This window comes from Homo sapiens, chromosome 1 (genome assembly GCF_000001405.40).
Source record: "Homo sapiens chromosome 1, GRCh38.p14 Primary Assembly".
NCBI lineage: Eukaryota > Metazoa > Chordata > Mammalia > Primates > Hominidae > Homo > Homo sapiens.
Window position 1 is genome coordinate 155,229,921 of NC_000001.11, and position 17,284 is coordinate 155,247,204.

At 51.8% G+C, this 17,284-nt stretch overlaps 1 protein-coding gene and 1 pseudogene across 5 annotated transcripts, besides 7 other annotated features; one reads left to right on the forward strand and one right to left on the reverse strand.

Annotated features, from left to right (window-relative positions):
• Positions 1,056-4,531, forward strand: MTX1LP (metaxin 1 like, pseudogene; annotated as a pseudogene).
• Positions 3,719-6,224: a non allelic homologous recombination region, noted in NCBI's record as "sub-region e, recombines with sub-region e' within the GBAP1 recombination region". NCBI's record gives the evidence for it as "EXISTENCE:nucleotide sequencing assay evidence [ECO:0000219][PMID:12587096]".
• Positions 3,719-10,172: a biological region, named in NCBI's record as "GBA recombination region". NCBI's record gives its function as "recombination_partner: LOC106627982".
• On the reverse strand, positions 4,532-14,707 carry GBA1 (glucosylceramidase beta 1). Of its 5 annotated transcripts, none has more exons than NM_001005742.3 (12): positions 14,586-14,707; positions 11,166-11,241; positions 10,710-10,797; positions 9,966-10,157; positions 9,696-9,842; positions 8,597-8,730; positions 8,214-8,386; positions 7,421-7,658; positions 6,325-6,549; positions 5,761-5,924; positions 5,275-5,391; positions 4,532-5,180 (listed from the first exon to the last, which is right to left on the reverse strand). In NM_001005742.3, the coding sequence occupies exons 2-12, from the start codon at positions 11,190-11,192 to the stop codon at positions 5,075-5,077; spliced, it is 1,611 nt and encodes a 536-aa protein (NP_001005742.1). In that variant the 5' UTR covers positions 11,193-11,241; positions 14,586-14,707; the 3' UTR covers positions 4,532-5,074. The 5 variants fall into 5 exon arrangements, with proteins under 5 accessions (NP_001005742.1, NP_001005741.1, NP_000148.2 ...); NM_001005741.3 differs by having other exon boundaries at positions 11,166-11,260; NM_000157.4 differs by lacking the exon at positions 14,586-14,707 and having other exon boundaries at positions 11,166-11,329.
• Positions 7,687-8,021: a non allelic homologous recombination region, noted in NCBI's record as "sub-region d, recombines with sub-region d' within the GBAP1 recombination region". NCBI's record gives the evidence for it as "EXISTENCE:nucleotide sequencing assay evidence [ECO:0000219][PMID:11042032]".
• Positions 8,835-8,935: a non allelic homologous recombination region, noted in NCBI's record as "sub-region c, recombines with sub-region c' within the GBAP1 recombination region". NCBI's record gives the evidence for it as "EXISTENCE:nucleotide sequencing assay evidence [ECO:0000219][PMID:12587096]".
• Positions 9,885-9,910: a non allelic homologous recombination region, noted in NCBI's record as "sub-region b, recombines with sub-region b' within the GBAP1 recombination region". NCBI's record gives the evidence for it as "EXISTENCE:nucleotide sequencing assay evidence [ECO:0000219][PMID:12587096]".
• Positions 10,155-10,172: a non allelic homologous recombination region, noted in NCBI's record as "sub-region a, recombines with sub-region a' within the GBAP1 recombination region". NCBI's record gives the evidence for it as "EXISTENCE:nucleotide sequencing assay evidence [ECO:0000219][PMID:11112377]".
• Positions 13,874-14,837: an enhancer, noted in NCBI's record as "OCT4-NANOG-H3K27ac-H3K4me1 hESC enhancer chr1:155213585-155214548 (GRCh37/hg19 assembly coordinates)". NCBI's record gives its function as "activates a minimal SCP1, AML or CMV promoter by ChIP-STARR-seq in primed H9 embryonic stem cells {active_cell/tissue: H9 hESC(primed)}" and the evidence as "EXISTENCE:reporter gene assay evidence [ECO:0000049][PMID:30033119]".

Consider the following 17,284-nt stretch of genomic DNA (forward strand, 5'->3'; position numbering starts at 1 on the left):
CCGGGTGCAGTGGCTCATGCCTGTAATCCCAGCACTTTGGGAGGCCGACGCAGGCAGATCACGAGGTCAGCAGATCGAGACCATCCTGGCTAACAAGGTGAAAACCTGTCTCAACTAAAAATACAGAAAATTAGCCAGGCATGGTGACAGGCACCTGTAGTCCCAGCCACTCAGGAGGCTGAGGCAGGAGAATCGCTTGAACCTGGGAGGCGGGGGTTGCAATGAGCCGAGATCGCACCATGCACTCCAGCCTGGCAAAAGAGCAAGACTCCATCTCAAAAAAATAAATAAAATAAAATAAAAATGACGGCTGGGAGCAGTGGCTCACGCCTGTAATCCCAGCATTTTGGGAGGCTGAGGTGGGCAGATCACGAGGTCAGGAGATCGAGACCATCCTGGCTAACATGGTGATACCCTGTCTCTGTTAAAAATACAGAAAATTAGCCAGGCATGGTGGCAGGCACCTGTAGTCCCAGCTACTCGGGAGGCTGAGGCAGGAGAATAGCATGAACCTGGGAGGCAGAGCTTGCAGTGAGCCGAGATCGTGCAACTGCACTCCAGCCCGGGCAACAGAGCAAGACTCCGTCTCAAAAAAATATATAAAAAATAAAAGAAAAGAAAAAAAACAAAAACAAAGAAGGCTTACGTGAGACCCTTGGGGCCCTCTACTGTTAACCAGTTCAGGAGAGGTGTAAAAGTTTGTAAAGGATAACCAGAGCACAAAGTAGAAGAGCAATGTCCTCAAAGGGAAAAATTCAAGAAGATGCTGATTATGGAGATTAATTGCTGCTTCAAGGTCAAGTGAAATGCAGGCAGAGAAATGGTCACTGGGTCTGACACCACTTTTGGTCACTCAAATTTTGGTCAGAGCAGTGGCTGAAGAAACACAGGGGAAGGAGTCTGATGGGGGTGGGTGATAAGAGAATGGATGTTTAAGTGTGGAGGGAAGAAAAAGAAAACCTATTGCTATGAAAAGGAGCAGAGATAGAATTCGTGGTTGGAAAGTGTGTCTTGAAAGTTTCTTTTTTCTTAAAAGTTTCTTGTGCACCATATAGCACAAGATCAGCAACCCCTGGCAGAGCCCTTCAGGTACCCAGTATCCCTTGGGGGTGAGGAAGGGTGTGTACAAGAGGAGAAGCAGGAGATAGGCAGGAATGTGTTGCAACTACGTATGGATAGGCAGCTAAGGTCCTGGTTGGTATACTTTTCTCTCAGTATCAGGAACCCTGCCTGCCCTTTGGACCAGTCATGGAGAGGTCACCTCAGTACCACACAAGATCATCACCCACCTTCAAAAAGAGGTGGGTGATTTGGATAGAGGGGGCTGCCAGTGAGAGAAGTTCAGTCAATTCCGTACAATACACATTTATTGAGCACTAGATATATGCCATGCTAGATGCAGGTGACCCAGAGCATCAAGGAGCAATAGTCTGGTGGCAGAGACACACACAATGTCACTGTGATGTATTAAAGCAGTCGGCAAGAGATGCAGCTCAGGGCACTGTGGGGATATCCAGAGGCACGGTACCTTCTGCCTGTCAGTCAGGGAGGGAGAGGAGCACAGGCTGAAGGAGACTGGAAGACAGCAGTTGGCCTCTGATAGTGGGACTGGAGAGAGATTTCTAAGGGCCACTTCTTGTTTTCAGGGACTAGGTTGGGCTAGATATGGGGCTCAGGATGGACAAGGCTTAGAGCCAGGTTGGAGAAGATGAAAGAGCATTACTAGAGGAGTGGGGAGGCCTAGGCTATGCTCTTTACTCTGCCATTGACTGCGTGATCTTGGGCAGGCCATGTAACCTCTCAGGGCTGTGCACTCCCTTATTTGTAAAACTAGAGGGCTGGGCCAGCATGTTTTCCAAGGGTTCTTCTAGCATTGACGGTCAGGTTCCAAGAGGGAACACAGTGTCAGAAGTGGGACACTCTTCCTAATTTCTAATTTCCCAAAGGTTAAGGACCTGGGGAATTAATTGAGAGGCCTGGAAAGAGGATCCAGATAAAAGCCTAAGTTCCTGGCAAGGCCAGGGCCACTGCCCTGATTGCTTAGGTGTGAACAGAGCTTTTTGTTTCCGAAGTATTCTAAATTATTTCCTAACACAGGGGCATTCAGAGAAAGAGATTCTTACCCCCATTCCACAGGGGAGAAACTGAGGCTTAGGGAGATTTAAGGATCATGCTGAAGAGGTTATCTGGGGACAAAGCTTACTCAGGATGTGGTGGGGGATGCTGAGGAACAGGGACTGGAGCCTGGGAAGGTAGGGCAGGCTGAGACCTGGGGGTATGGATGGAATGTGTATGTGGTAATGGTGTCTGGGCGATGGAATGAAGTGAAAGAAATAGCCAAGAGCTGGGCACTGAGGGAACAAGCTGGGGGGCCCTGGGCGTGGGTTCCCTGGATCCAGGGAGTGTGAGGATGGCTTTCCCTGGTTCCTGAGGCATGGACCGAGTCCTAGCCTGCATCTGAGCTCCGTTGTGCTAGCTTTGTGGTGTCTGGGTCGGGAAAGTTACTGTTAGAAAGTTGCTGTCAGCAGGCATTGTTCCAGCTTTCCATGGAAATTCTGGGAGCTGCTCCTAGTTTGCGGCCCAACCTTTCTTCCTTCTTCTCAATGGGCCCAGGACCTTGACGGCCAGCGGGCTCCAAGGCCCAGGCTTTTTGCCAACAGCAACAGGCTACTGGCTGGGCCCAGGCAAGGGGGCCTTGGCAGGAAAAGTTCCTTGCTGTACCTCCACTGCACTCAGAGGCCAGTGAGGGGGGTACCAGACAGGACTCCTTCCTCCCTGGTGAAGTGCCCTTGCAGCTCCCCAGCGTCCACGCCATGGATATTTCCTCCACAGAAGTACAATGCTGATTATGATCTGTCAGCTCAGCAAGGGGCAGACACCCTGGCCTTCATGTCTCTCCTGGAGGAGAAGTTGATCCCGGTGCTGGTGAGTGTGCCCAGACCTCCCAGCATCCATGGCCAGCCGGGGAGGGGACGGGAACACACAGACCCACACAGAGACTCAGGAGAGCATGGAGGTCAGAAGCCCACCTTGAATCAGACAGGTGCACTGGCTCAGACCTGCCTGTTTCTTCCTGCCCACCCAATCCAGGTACATACTTTTTGGATAGACACCAAGAACTACGTAGAAGTGACCCGGAAGTGGTATGCAGAGGCTATGCCCTTTCCCCTCAACTTCTTCCTGCCTGGCCGCATGCAGCGGCAGTACATGGAACGGCTACAGCTGCTGACTGGGGAGCACAGGCCTGAGGACGAGGAAGAGCTGGAGAAGGAGGTAGCTCTGAGACCGGGGGCTATTGTATGAGATGAGCCCCAAGGATGCTGGCCAGGAATGGGAGTGCTTAGGTGCGGAGGTGGCACTGTTCCCGCAGCTGCAAGCCTACCTGTGTCGCCCCTACAGCTGTACCGAGAGGCTCGGGAGTGTCTGACCCTGCTCTCTCAGCGCCTGGGCTCTCAAAAGTTCTTCTTTGGAGATGCGTGAGTCTGACTCCAAGAGGGTAATGGGTGGCTTGGAAGAAGATACAGGTTCAGATGGAGCAGCTGGAGCTGGGGCTGGGGCTGGGGCTGGCTCAGGCTCTGGATAGGAGGTCCCTGAGACAGATACTGGCCCTGGTGACAGTGGGGCTGTGCGTGGGGCCAGAGCCTTCTCAGAGGTACAAAAGGGTAGGGTGGGAGGGCAGCCAGGCACAGGAAGGGCCTGAAGAGCTGTGGGGCACTGAGTGTGCCCTTTATGCAGCCCTGGGATAGAGCCCTATTCAGGGCCAGGCTGGCGCCACCTGGGGATCTCTCCCCATACCAGGTCTAGAACTGTGTGTCCTGTCCTTCCCTGGTGGCCGCCTGCTGCCCAGAGCCCACCTCCCAAGGCTGACTCTTCCTCCAGCTCCATCTTTACCCCTTCTACCCCAGTGGTTCTCCTCCATCCCACCCTTCTCTCTCTGCTCCAGCCCTGCCTCCTTGGACGCCTTCGTCTTCAGCTACTTGGCCCTGCTGCTGCAGGCAAAGCTGCCCAGTGGGAAGCTGCAGGTCCACCTGCGTGGGCTGCACAACCTCTGTGCCTATTGTACCCACATTCTCAGTCTCTACTTCCCCTGGGATGGAGGTAAGGGGCAGATGGGAGGGGCAGCCCTGGGGAGAGTGGGCAGGGATCCAAGAACTAGTTCTCCTAACACACCTTCCTTCCTTGACCCTCAGCTGAGGTACCACCGCAACGCCAGACACCAGCAGGCCCAGAGACTGAGGAGGAGCCATACCGGCGCCGGAACCAGATCCTATCTGTGCTGGCAGGACTGGCAGCCATGGTGGGCTACGCCTTGCTCAGCGGCATTGTCTCCATCCAGCGGGCAACGCCTGCTCGGGCCCCAGGCACCCGGACCCTGGGCATGGCTGAGGAGGATGAAGAGGAATGATTTGTCCTCACGCTCCCAAGACTGGTTTTTCTACTCTCATGCATTCCAGAGGCCCCCGTGCCTCCTCGTTGTTGGTACAGCCGGACACGGGGTGCTGCCACCCAGAATAAAGCCACTCACACTGACTGGGCTCAAACATTTTCTCCTTTAAGAGCTGCCATTTTTCCTGGCTGGTGCCATAGGAATCATCTGGGTGCCTGGGCACACCCGCTGCTGCTTTAAGGCTTCCGCCCTGATGCTGACACTGCTGCTCCACGGGCCCAGTTCTGCATCTCCAGGAAAGACAAACAGTCTCCAGTTTTGGGCCCAGCTTTCCTAGTCTCTTCTTTTCCTTACCCTCAGCCCTGATCTTGTGTTTGTACGGACAGTGAGCTCACCCTAGGCCTGGACCCAGGCCCAGTTTCCAAAGCAAGCAGCACACAGCGCATGTTCACATAAGCATGGGGGCTGGGGGGACACTGGGGCTTACTGATCTTTTTCTAGGGGCCTCCAGCCCCTGGCACCACCTAGAGGGGAAAGTGAGTCACCCAAACCATTGCCCCTGGGCTTACGTCGCTGTAAGCTCACACTGGCCCTGCTGTGCCCTCTTTAGTCACAGACAGCGTGTGAGCTGACTCTGTCCCTTTAATGCCCAGGCTGAGCCCAGTGCCTCCTTGAGTATCTGCTCCATCACTGGCGACGCCACAGGTAGGTGTGAATGGAGTAGCCAGGTGAGATTGTCTCCAGGAAGCCCACAGCAGGATCCTTGATGGTAAGAGGCACATCCTTAGAGGAGCTAGGGAGCAGGGAGGAGAAGCTGAGAGTGTGATCCTGCCAAGGCCCCCAACGCTGTCTTCAGCCCACTTCCCAGACCTCACCATTGCCCTCACCGGTTTAGCACGACCACAACAGCAGAGCCATCGGGATGCATCAGTGCCACTGCGTCCAGGTCGTTCTTCTGACTGGCAACCAGCCCCACTCTCTGGGAGCCCTCAGGAATGAACTTGCTGAATGTGGGAACAGATGGTCAGAGTCCCTCGGGGTACCTCCCATGAAACCCTCATCTAAGAAGTCACCCACCCACGGACCCACCCCATAACTCCTGCAGAGGCTCTGCCCTGGCTCTCTAGGCCTGGAGCCATGCTGCTGGGCACTGACCCTGCTTTTCTGCATCGCAGTCCAGCCTCAGGCATTGGGGTTTTCTGTTGCTACCTAGTCACTTCCTGCCTCCATGGTGCAAAAGGGGATGGGTGTGCCTCTTCCGAGGTTCCACCCTGAACACCTTCCTGCTCCCTCGTGGTGTAGAGTGATGTAAGCCATCCGATGTAGGAGATGATAGGCCTGGTATGGAATGGGGGTGCCCGCCCTCCACTCACCTGAAGTGGCCAAGGTGGTAGAACATGGGCTGTTTGTAAAACGTGTCCTTGGTGATGTCTACAATGATGGGACTGTCGACAAAGTTACGCACCCAATTGGGTCCTCCTTCGGGGTTCAGGGCAAGGTTCCAGTCGGTCCAGCCGACCACATGGTACAGGAGGTTCTAGGGTAAGGACAAAGGCAAAGAGACAAAGGCGCAACACTGGGGGTCCCCAGAGAGTGTAGGTAAGGGTCACATGTGGGAGAGGCAGCTGTGGGTAGGTCAGCCCTGTGAGGGGCACATTCCTTAGTAGCTAAGGAGTTGGGGGTGTGAAGATCCAGGCATCTCAAGGGGAGCTGAGAAGTCTGAGGCAGCTGCAAGTGCCTCAGTAGTTGCAAAAGGGGCAATGAGGTGTGCAGACCTGTGAAGGAAAGGGAAGATAGGGAATCATGGTTCCCCAGAGTTGCTCAAAAGGGCAGGCTAGCTGGGGAAAGCTGGACAGGAAGGGCTTCTGTCAGTCTTTGGTGAAACTAGTAAGAGGTCTGAGGTCTGCTTTGCAGGAAGGGAGACTGGGGTGGCTTACCGTGATGATGCTGTGGCTGTACTGCATCCCTCGATCCCAGGAGCCTAGCCGCACACTCTGCTCCCAGAACTTGGAGCCCACACAGGCCTCTGAGGCAAAGAGCATGGTGTTGGGGAACAGGCGGTGTGTCTCCCCTAGGGTGGCTTTGGCTGGAGCCAGAAAGTCCAGGTACCAATGTACAGCAATGCCATGAACATATTTAGCTGCTTCTGGGTCTGTCAGTACCTGCAAAGGAAGAGCAACTGATCCTGGACCTTGCACACAGGCTTCTGGAACTTCTAGTTCCTGTTGTAGGAATCCTGGAGTTGGGTGACGGGAAGAATGCAACTAGAGAGGTTTGGGGAGATTTTTTTTTGTTTTTGAGACAGGATGTCACTCTGTCACTCGGGCTGGAGTACAGTGGCGCAATCACGACTCACTGCAGCCTTGACTTCCTAGGGTCAACTGATCCTCCCACATTAGCCTCCTGAGTAGCTGGGACTACACGGGTGCCACACCCAGCTAATTTGTGTGTGTATGTGTGTGTATGTATGTGTGTGTGTGTATATATATATACATATAAACACATATATATGTATATACACATACATACATGAACCACCACCCCCAGCCTAGATAGTTTTGTTTTGTTTTGTTTCGAGATGGAGTCTCGCTCAGCCTCCCAGGCTGGAGTGCAGTGGCGCGATCTCGGCTCACCGCAACCACCATCTCCCGGGTTCAACTGATTCTCCCTTCTCAGCCTCCTGAGTAGCTGGGATTACAGACACCCACCATCATGCCCAGATAATTTTTTTTTTTTGTATTTTAGTAGACACAGGGTTTCAACACGTTGGCCAGGGTGGTCTTAAACTCCTGACCTCAGGTGATCACCCGCCTCGGCTTCCCAAAGTGCTGGGTTTGCATGAGTGAGCCACCTCGCCCAGCCCCTAGAAAGGTTTCAAGCGACAACTGTGGGATCCATGGCACCCTGGAGGTCCAGGGGAATGGTGCTCTAGGAATCCATAGTTGGGTAGAGAAATCGCTCTAAGTTTGGGAGCCAGTCATTTGGATGCTGGATTTGAAGGTCACTGGAGCACCATGGAGGTCCAGGCCTTACCACCTTTGCCCAGTGGGGCAGCAGCAAGCGTTGGTCATCCAGCATGAGTAGGCGGACATTGTGGTGAGTACTGTTGGCGAGGGTAGGACCTAGGTCACGGGCAATGAAGTCTCGCTGATGTTCAGGGGTGAAGCCCAGGCACTGGAAGGGGTATCCACTCAACAGCCCAGCAGAAGGCTCATTTTCAGCTGTCACTGCCCAGAACTGTAACTTGTGCTCAGCATAGGCATCCAGGAACCTGGCAAGAGAAAGGTCATGAATGATCCGGCCAAGAAAGTGGACCAGACCAGCTGGGTGTGGTGGCTCACACCTGTAATCCCAGCACTTTGGGAAGCCGAGGCAGGTGGATCACTTGAGTTCAGGAGTTCGAGAACAGCCTGGCGAAACCCCGTCTCTACTAAAAATAGAAAAATCAGCTGGGCCTGGTGGCAGGCGCCTATAATCCCAGCTACTTGGAAGGCTGAGGCAGGAGAATTGCTTGAACTCAGGAGGCAGAGGTTACAGTGAGTGAAGATGGCGCCACAGCACTCCAGCCTGGGTGACAGAGAGAGAGACTCCTTCTCAAAAAAAAAAAAAAGAAGAAAAATAAAAAGAAAGTGGGCCAGACCGAGAGAACAGGAAGCCTGATGGAGTGGGCAAGATTGACAGGCCCAAGGCTGAAAGGCCCAGAAGGTAGAAAGGTGAGCTGAGGACAGGCAGATCTGGAAGTGGAACTAGGTTGAGGGTTGGGACACAGATCAGCATGGCTAAATGGGAGGCCAGTCCTGATCCCACATCCTTGCTGATCCCTTACTTCACAAAGTATCTGGCCCAGGTCTGGTGGTAGATGTCTCCGGGCTGTCCCTTGAGTGACCCCTTCCCATTCACCGCTCCATTGGTCTTGAGCCAAGTGGGTGATGTCCAGGGGCTGGCAAGGAGTGAAACGGGACGCTGGGCCAACTGCAGGGCTCGGTGAATCAGGGGTATCTAGAGACAAAGGTAGTGAAGAGAGAAGCACCCAGAGTTGGAACACATACTAGCCCAACCAGTGCATCCGGTTCAGCCATTAGCCTCCACCCTCCCACCCCCAGGACAAAACAGCAGGGGACAAAATGTCTGTACAAGCAGACCTACCCTACAGTTTCTCAACCCCCAGACATCAGGGCCCTCAGGGCCTGAAAAAGCTAGAATGCCTACCTTGAGCTTGGTATCTTCCTCTGGGAGGCTGAAGTTGTGCAACTGGAAATCATCAGGGGTGTCTGCATAGGTGTAGGTGCGGATGGAGAAGTCACAGCTGGCCATGGGTACCCGGATGATGTTATATCCGATTCCTACAGAAAAGGATGATCAAGATATGGTAGTCCGAGTCAATAGGAGAGTATGGGACTCTGCTTATCACTTGCCAGTCCTAATAGTGTCTGAGTCAGGGCCAAAGGGAACTTGGGCTCCTGGGTTGGAACCTGTGGAGGCTGGCACCTGGGTGAAGCGCAGGCCTTTCTGAGCCTGAGTCCGTAGCAGTTAGCAGATGATAGGCGGTGAAATCTTATTTCACAGGGCATTAAAACAGGAACCAAATGTCAGGGATGGGCAGAAGTCAGGGTCCAAAGAAAGGGCAAAGAAAAGTGTCAGTGGCTCACGCATGTAATCCCAGCACTTTGGGAGGCCGATGTGGGCAGATCACGAGGTCAGGAGTTCGCAATCATCCTGGCCAACATAGTGAAACCCTGTCTCTACTAAAAATACAAAAAATTAGCCGGGCGTGGTGGCAGGCACCTGTAATCCCAGGTACTCGAGAGGCTGAGACAGGAGAATCACCTGAACCCGGGAGGTGGAGGTTGCAGTGAGCTGAGATTGTGCCACTGCACTCCAGCCTGGGTGACAGTGCGAGACTCTGTCTCAAAAAAAAAAAAAGAAAAAAGAAAAGTGTCTGCTGGGCTCGGTGGCTCACACTTGTAATTCCAGCACTTCGGGAGGCCAAGGCAGGTATATCATTTGAGGTCAGGAGTTTAAGACTAGCCTGGTCAACATGATGAAACCCTGTCTCTACTAAAAATACAAAAATTAGCCAGGTGGTAGTGGCGCACGCCTATAATTCCAGCTACTCAGGAGGCTGAGGCAGGAGAATCACTATAGCCTGGGAGGCAGAGGTTGCTGTGAGGGGAGATCACACCACTGCACTCCTGTCTCGCCGACAGAATGGGCAGAGTGAGATTCTGCCTCAAAAAAATTTTAAAAAAAGAAAAGAAAAACGAAAAGTTTCAATGGCTCTATGTCATCTTGTCCCCTTCCTCCTCACCTTCTTCAGAGAAGTACGATTTAAGTAGCAAATTTTGGGCAGGGGGTGACAGGGCAAGGATGTTGAGAGCAGCAGCATCTGTCATGGCCCCTCCAAATCCCTTCACTTTCTGGAACTTCTGTTCTGGCTGCAGGGTCAGTAGCAGGCCTGAGGACATCCACAGGGAATAAGGGTATCAGTACCCAGCGGGAAACTCCATGGTGATCACTGACACCATTTACCTCTAGGAGGACCCAGCCTGGCCCAGGGGGTGAGGGGTGTAATGGTTACCTGTGCCCGTGTGATTAGCCTGGATGGGCCCCATACTCAGCTCCATCCGTCGCCCACTGCGTGTACTCTCATAGCGGCTGAAGGTACCAAGGGCAGGAAAGGTCGGGGGGTCAAAGGAGTCACAGTATGTGGCATTGCAGACACACACCACCGAGCTGTAGCCGAAGCTTTTAGGGATGCAGGGGCGGGCACCTGGGAGGGAGGGAGTACAAGCAGAGTGAGGTCTGATGAAGACATGGAGAATGGACACATCTGCTAGGAGAGACTGAACACGGTTTCAAAATTCCTCACCCCTTGGCCGGGCGCAGGGGCTCACACCTGTAATCCTAGCACTTTAGGAGGCCGAGGTGGGCGGATCACCTGAGGTGAGGAGTTTGAGACCTGCCTTGCCAGCATGGTGAAACCCCGTCTCTACTAAAAATACAAAAATTAGCTGGGCGTAGTGGTGGCCGCCTGTAATCCCAGCTACCTGGGAAGCTGAAGCAAGAGAATCGCTTGAATCTGGGAGGCAGAGGTTGGAATGAGCCAAAATTGCACCACTGCACTCCAGCCCAGGCAACAGAGTAAGACTCTGTTTCAAAAGAAAAAAAACAAAATCCTCACCCCAAAGTTGGTCTCAGTCACTCAAAAGGATTTATTGAGCACCTACTAAAAGTCTACCACCAGCTTACTGGAAGGCTACCAAAGGACTATGAGGCAGAAGGGAGGCTCTGTGCTACCTCCCCACTGCCTTGACTCACTCACCTGATGCCCACGACACTGCCTGAAGTAGAAGCAATCCTGTGAGGCTGCCAGCCATGATGCTTACCCTACTCAAAGGCTTGGGACATTCCTGAGGACAGAATGAGGAATGACTGAAAAGCAAGCCCCTCTCCACCCCTCAACTACTCTCCTGGGCAGGGCTTAGCTGCCTTTGGGTGCCCATGGCCCGGTCTCCCACATTCATTAGGACAAGGCCCACAGAAACCTGGGTGCAGCTCTCCCTGCAACCCTTCTGATGACAACTCTCTGCCCACCCCAAATCAGGATGCTCCCCACCACTCTTCCCACCCATTTCAACTTCGACCCCTCCCTCCATCTGTGCCTTGCTCAAAGAGCCATGATGGCCCTGGATTCAAAGAGAGTCTGTCATTCATTAAATTCCAGTGCCAGGATTCCAGAAGCACTGTGACAATGCTGATTGGGAGCTCTCTCTCTTACCTCTCTGGAAGGACTTGAAAACTCCATCCCCTCAGGGTCATTAGATGAAGAGAAGACCACAGGGGTTCCAGAGTCTCTGAAGGATAGAGGATCCACTAAACAAAAACAAGGATGCAGGTACCTGCCTTAGCTATAGGCACTAGGTTAGCCCTGCAAGTAATTCCGGCTTCCCGATGTGGATGGGTCATGTGATGACTAGGAGCGTCACATGACACAGGAAGTGAGGCAATCACAGCCATATTTCTAAAGGGCAATTGGCTTCCTCTCATCTGTTACAGATTATATGCCCTATAAAACTCTGGAGGGCATGTATGGGTGACAACTTTAGGAAGAGCCTAGAACACAGATTTGCATGGAGAATGGGGTAGAGGCTCCTAAATCCCAGAGGATGGGAACCACAGCAGGCACACTTCTTTTTTGATAGAAATGTCAAAAAGGTACAAATAAAGCTGATATAATTTAAAAAAAAAAACTTCACTGTGCAAAATACTGACACTACCAAGATGTTTAAGACAGTCTTTGCCCTATAGAGGTGTGTGAGGCATGGAAGTCAGACACACAGATATTTACAGATAAAGACAGAAACGGTAACAGGTGTGCATGGAGAGCTCTCTGAGATGAGGAGGGACCATTCGTGGGTGGGGAATTATCCAGGATGGCTTCACAGAGGAAAAAGTGAGGGGGGTTATTAGCCAGTGAAGTGCAGGGCACAAGAGGGTGGGACACTGGCAGTGGGATGACAGGACTGGAGGGAGGGAGTGGTCAGTGCGGCTCCTCTGCAGCGTCCCTTGTTTCATCATCAGATGCAGATGGTAATAACTGTTCTTCCTTCCTCACAAGACAGGGAGGTTTGTAAAGTCGTTCAAAAACCAAAGTGTTGTACAAAGCCATATCCTCAGTGGACACAAGGAGGAAGCTGTCCATGGTGTGGCCTCATGAACCACATCAAATGAGATTTAGCGGGAGTGGCACACACAGTCATGACCTGACTAATCCCAGCTCTCAGCCCATTTCCTTGCCTGGAAAATGGAGGCAATGCCACAACCTCAAAGGGTGGTTACTGCAGTCAGTGAGGTAAGTGCAGTGCCTGACCACTTGGTAGGCACCTGGGAACTACTTGTCTCTTGTTTGTATTTTTTGTTGTTGTTGTTTTTTGAGACAGAGTCTCACTCTGTTGCCCAGGCTGGAGTGCAGTGGCGTGATCTTGGCTCACTGCAACCTCCACCTCCTGGGTTCGAGTGATTCTCCTGCCTCAGCCTCCCAAGTAGCTGGGATTACAGGTGCCCTCCAACATGCTCAGCTAATTTTTTTATTTTTAGTAGAGATGGGGTTTCACTATGTTGGCCAGGCTGGTCTGAAACTCTGGACCTCAGGTGATCTGCTGCCTTGGTATCCGAAAGTGCTGGGATTACAGGCATGAGCCACTGCGCTGGACCCCAGCCATCCTTTTTGTTCTTTAAATGATCTCAGTGAAGTCTTTCTAGATACACTCCAAGCAAAATTGATCATTTCTTCTTCTAGGTTCCTCCAGTAATTTTTTTTTTTTTGGTTTTGAGACAGAGTCTTGCCCTGTTGCCCAGGCTGGAGTGCAGTGTGATCTCGGCTCAAGCAATTGCCCTGCCTCAGCCTCCTGAGTAGCTGGGATTACAGGAGCCCACCACCATGCCCAGCTAATTTTTGTATTTTTAGTAGAGATGGGGTTTCACCATGTTGGCCAGGCTGGTCTCGAACCCCTGACCTCAGGTGATCCACCAGCCTCAGCCTCCCAAGGTGTTGGGATTATAGCAATGAGCCACCACACCCGGTCCCTCCAGTAATTAAGTACAGTCTCAGTGAGACAGCAAGTTTGGAATCCTGGCTACACCATTTACTGGCTGTTTGACTTTCAATAAATCAATCACTCTAAGCCTCTGTTTCATCTATAAAAGGGGAGTGATAACTCCTACCTCACAGAATTGTTGTGAGGTTTGAGTGTGATAATGTGTCTCTAGTACACTGCTTGACACTAAACATTGCAACATGTCAGGCCTCTGTTCCTGGAGTTCCTTGAAGGAATGTCTTATGCATTCTAAGTATCCTCGTAGATAGCCTGGCACAGGGGTAGCTGTCAAGTTGTAGAATTGAACTAGTTGCTTCACTATGTCAGTAGCCACCCCTTCCAGACTTCTCACTTTTCAAGGAAACATTGCACAGGATTTGTTCTGGGTAGGGCAGGTAATATCTAGTACCTTACTTCCCTCAAGTTCATTCATCTCACAGATATTTCCTGAGCACATTCTACATTTGCCTCTCCTGCTCTATTGAGTTTAGAAGTCCAAACATCTCCTTCCACTTCCCCTCTGCATAGTGAGCCTCTTCTTTTTTGGCCAGGTACTGAGCAATTTTTTGTTTGTTTGTTTGAGACAGGGTCTCCGTATGTTGCCCTGGATGGAGTGTAGTAGCTTGATTTCGGCTCAGTGCAACCTCTGCCTCCAGAATAAGCAATCCTCCCACCTCAGCCTCCAGAATAGCTGGGACTATAGGCGCACACCACCACACCTGGCTAATTTCTGTATTTTTTGTAGAGACGGGGTCTTACTGTGTTGCGCAGGTTGGTCTCAAACTCCTAAACTCAAAGGATCCTCCCGCCTTGGCTTTGCAAAGTGCTGGGATTACAGGGTGAGGCACTGCGCCCAGTCCGCTTGTTTTTTGTTTTGTTTTTTTTTTTGAGACGGAGTATCTCTGTCACCCAGGCTGGAGTGCAGTGGCACGATCTCGGTTCACTGCAACCTCCGCCTCCTAGGTTCAAGCGGAGGGTAGGGACCAGTCCATCCTGGCACCCATCTGCAGCTCCAGTGCGAATCCCAACCCCGACGCTCGTCGCCGGGCTCCGTGAATGTTTGTCACATGTCTGAAGAACGTATGAATTACATAACCTTCTTCCCACTCCACCCCTCAAAAAGCAAGTGGATATAAAGACTTGAAGATTTTATAATCTCTTCTTCATTAGTAAAATCTGACCATCCTTACCGTTAAAAATAATAATGATGGTTGGCCGGGCGCGGTGGCTCACGCCTATAATCACAGCTGTTTGGCAGGCCGAGGCGGGCGGATCACGAGGTCAGGAATTGGAGACCAGCCTGACCAACATGGTGAAACCCCGTCTCTACTAAAAGATACAAAAAATTAGCCGTGCGTGGTGGCGGGTGCCTGTAATCCCACGTACTTGGGAGGCTGAGGTCGGAGAATCGCCTGAACCCGGGAGGCGGAGGTTGCAGTGAGCCAAGAAGGCGCCATTACACTCCAGCCTGGGCGACAGGGCGAGACTCCCTCAAAAAATAATAATAATAACAATAATAATAATAATGGTGAAAAAGGTTAAGTGCGAACGCAGGGAGGGGACAGCTAAGATCCAAAGGTCGAAATATTCATTACGCCTACCGTCGGCGAAGAGAAACAGCAGCCCCAACCGGAGGCAAAACGAAATCCCACCGCAGCCTGCAAAGGCGCCTGGGCGGGACTGGAGACTGGGGCCCCGCGCAGTAAGACTCTGAAGGCAGGATGCAGCCCGACCACCCGCAGCCGCGAGAAAAGCAGCCCTGGGGAGTCGGGGCGGGACCTGGATTGGAAAAGAGACGGTCACTCATGCAGAGGCGGGACTCAGAGCCCTTCCTCAAGTCTCATTGGTCAAGTTGAACGAACAAGTGTCGCTGGCGAGCCGGAGAGAGAGAGAGAGCGAGAGCGAGAGAGCGAGCGAGAGAGAGCGAGAGAGCGAGAGAGCGAGCGAGAGAGAGAGAGAGAGAGAGAGGAGCCGGCGCGAGAACTACGCATGCGTGTCGGCGTTTTCCCGCCAGCACACTGTTGGTGGATGGGGGCGATTGAATTCCCACAGTGAGTCCAGCCCACCGAAGCTCAGAGGATTCCTAACCTTCCTCTTTAGAGAGCCTCAGGTTAGGGAACGTCCAGTGCGCAGAAGCTGCCCCGTGGGAATCCCATTGTCCATCGCCTCCTAATGTTTCGTCCTGGCCGTGCCCTATCCCTTCCTGAGGCTGGGTTGTTATGATGCTGAATTATTCAAGAAGTCTTGCAGCCTGACGCCATCTCTGGGCAGTGCTCCTCCCACCTCCCTGTCTTCCTTGGAGGGCACCACGTTGCCCCTACAAGCACAGGGTCCTGAAGCTGTTTACAGGGCCCCACCCTGCCACTTTAGTATCTTAACGAATGTTTGTTGAGGACCTACTGAGTGTTAGACCCACTGCAATGAGCAAGTTTCTGATCTTGGGACCTTAACATTCTATGGGACGACACAGATATATAAACAAAAATAATAATTTTAGATAGTGATACATGCTGAAACCATGGGTATGTGGCCAGGCGCGGTGAGTCACACCTGTAATCCCAGCACTTTGGGAGACCGAGGCAGGCGGATTACTTGAGGTCAGGAGTTTGAGACCCGCCTGGCCAACATGGTGAAACCCTATCTCTTCTAAAAATACAAAATTTAGCTGGGCGGGCATGGGGACGGGCGCCTGTAATCCCAGCTACTCGGGAGGCTGAGGCAGGAGAATTGCTTGAACCCAGGAGGTGGAAGGTTGCAGTGAGCCCAAATCACACCACTGCACTCCAGCCTGGGTAACAAAGCAAGACCCTGTCTCAAAAAAAGACAAAATGAAACAAACAAACAAAAAAAAACATGGCTATGTGATAGAATGACTGCGATGGGGATTGGGTGCTCACTGAAATGGTGAGAATGGAGCTAAAACCTGATATTAGGTGATAGCACCAGATATAGGGGCCAAGGGTTTCATGCTTGGAAAACAGCAGGTGCAAACGTCCTTGTGCTGTGAGGAAATTTGGCTGGAACAGAAGGTGGGCCAGATTGTAGCTGACCATAGTCTCTGGGAGTTTGGAGATGATTCTAAATACAATGGGAAGCCATTAAATTGAGGCAGAGCCTTGATGTGACGTGCTTTATCATCATTTTGCTGAGTGGAGAATGGATTGCTGGGAAAAGTGAAAGACTGATTCAGAGGTTGTGGAGAGAGGATGGCTGGAGCTAGGTAGCTGGGGAGGTGGTGGGATGTGGATGAATTCAGGATAGGATTGGTTGTGTTGGATATGGGAAAAGAAGTCACCATGGTTCCTGAGCTTTTGGAATGTGCAAATGGGTAATGGAGGTGCCATTGAGATGGGAACAGTGGAAAAATAACCGGTGCTGGGGTGGGAATCAAGAGTTCAGTTGTGGCCATGTTGAATCTGAAATGCCCATTAGACATCCAAGCAGACATGCTGAGTTGGATGGCGCTCATGGGAGGTCAAGGCTGGAGTTATGGATTAACACATAGAAAGATGGTATTTAAAGCCATGGACTTTAGTAGTAGGGCCACCTATAGAAAGAGTGGAGGTAGGAAAGAGGGCTTAGGTGAGGGCCCTGGGGCCCTCCAATGTTAAGCAGTTCAGCAGGACAAAGTAGAAGAGCCAATATTTCCCTTTTCAAAGGGACAAATTCAAGAAGATGCTGATTATGGGTATTAATTGCTGCCTCGAGGTCAAGTGAGATGCAGGCAGAGAAATGGTCACTGGGTCTGACACCACTGTGGTCACTGGAAAGTTTGGTCAGAGCAGTGGCTGTGGAAAGATAGGGGAAGGAGTCTGATGGGGGTGGGTGAGGAGAGAATGGATGTTTAACAGTGGAGGGAAGAAAAAGAAAACCTATTGCTGTGAAAAGGAGGAGCAGAGTTACAATTAGTGGTTGGAAAGAGTGTCTTGAAAGTTTCTTTTTTCTTTTTTTTTTTTTTTTGAGACATGGTCTTGCTCTGTTGCCCAGGCTGTAGTGCAGTGGCTCAATCACAGCTTACTGCAGCCTGGACTTCCCAAGCTCAAGTGATCCTCTCACCTTAGCCACCTGAGTAGTTGGGACTACAGGCGTGTCCCACCATGCCTGGCTAATTTTTTGTTTTTTGTAGAGACAGGGTCTCACTATGTTGCCCAGGCTGGTCTTGAATTCCTAGGCTCAGGCGATCCTCTTGCTTCGGCCTCCCAAAGTGCTAGGATTATAGGTGTGAGCCACCATACCCAGTCCTGAAAGAGTTTTCTTAAATATGAGAGACACTAGAACAAATTTCACTGGTGACAGAGAA

Excerpts from the sequence above, each read along its gene's own strand:
- GBA1 (NM_001005742.3), bottom strand. The coding sequence starts at position 11,192 with ATGGAGTTTTCAAGTCCTTCCAGAGAG. Across the intron at positions 10,798-11,165 it reads TTTCAAGTCCTTCCAGAGAG|GAATGTCCCAAGCCTTTGAG; the intron begins GTAAGAGAGAGA and ends TTCTGTCCTCAG. Across the intron at positions 10,158-10,709 it reads GGCAGTGTCGTGGGCATCAG|GTGCCCGCCCCTGCATCCCT; the intron begins GTGAGTGAGTCA and ends CCTCCCTCCCAG.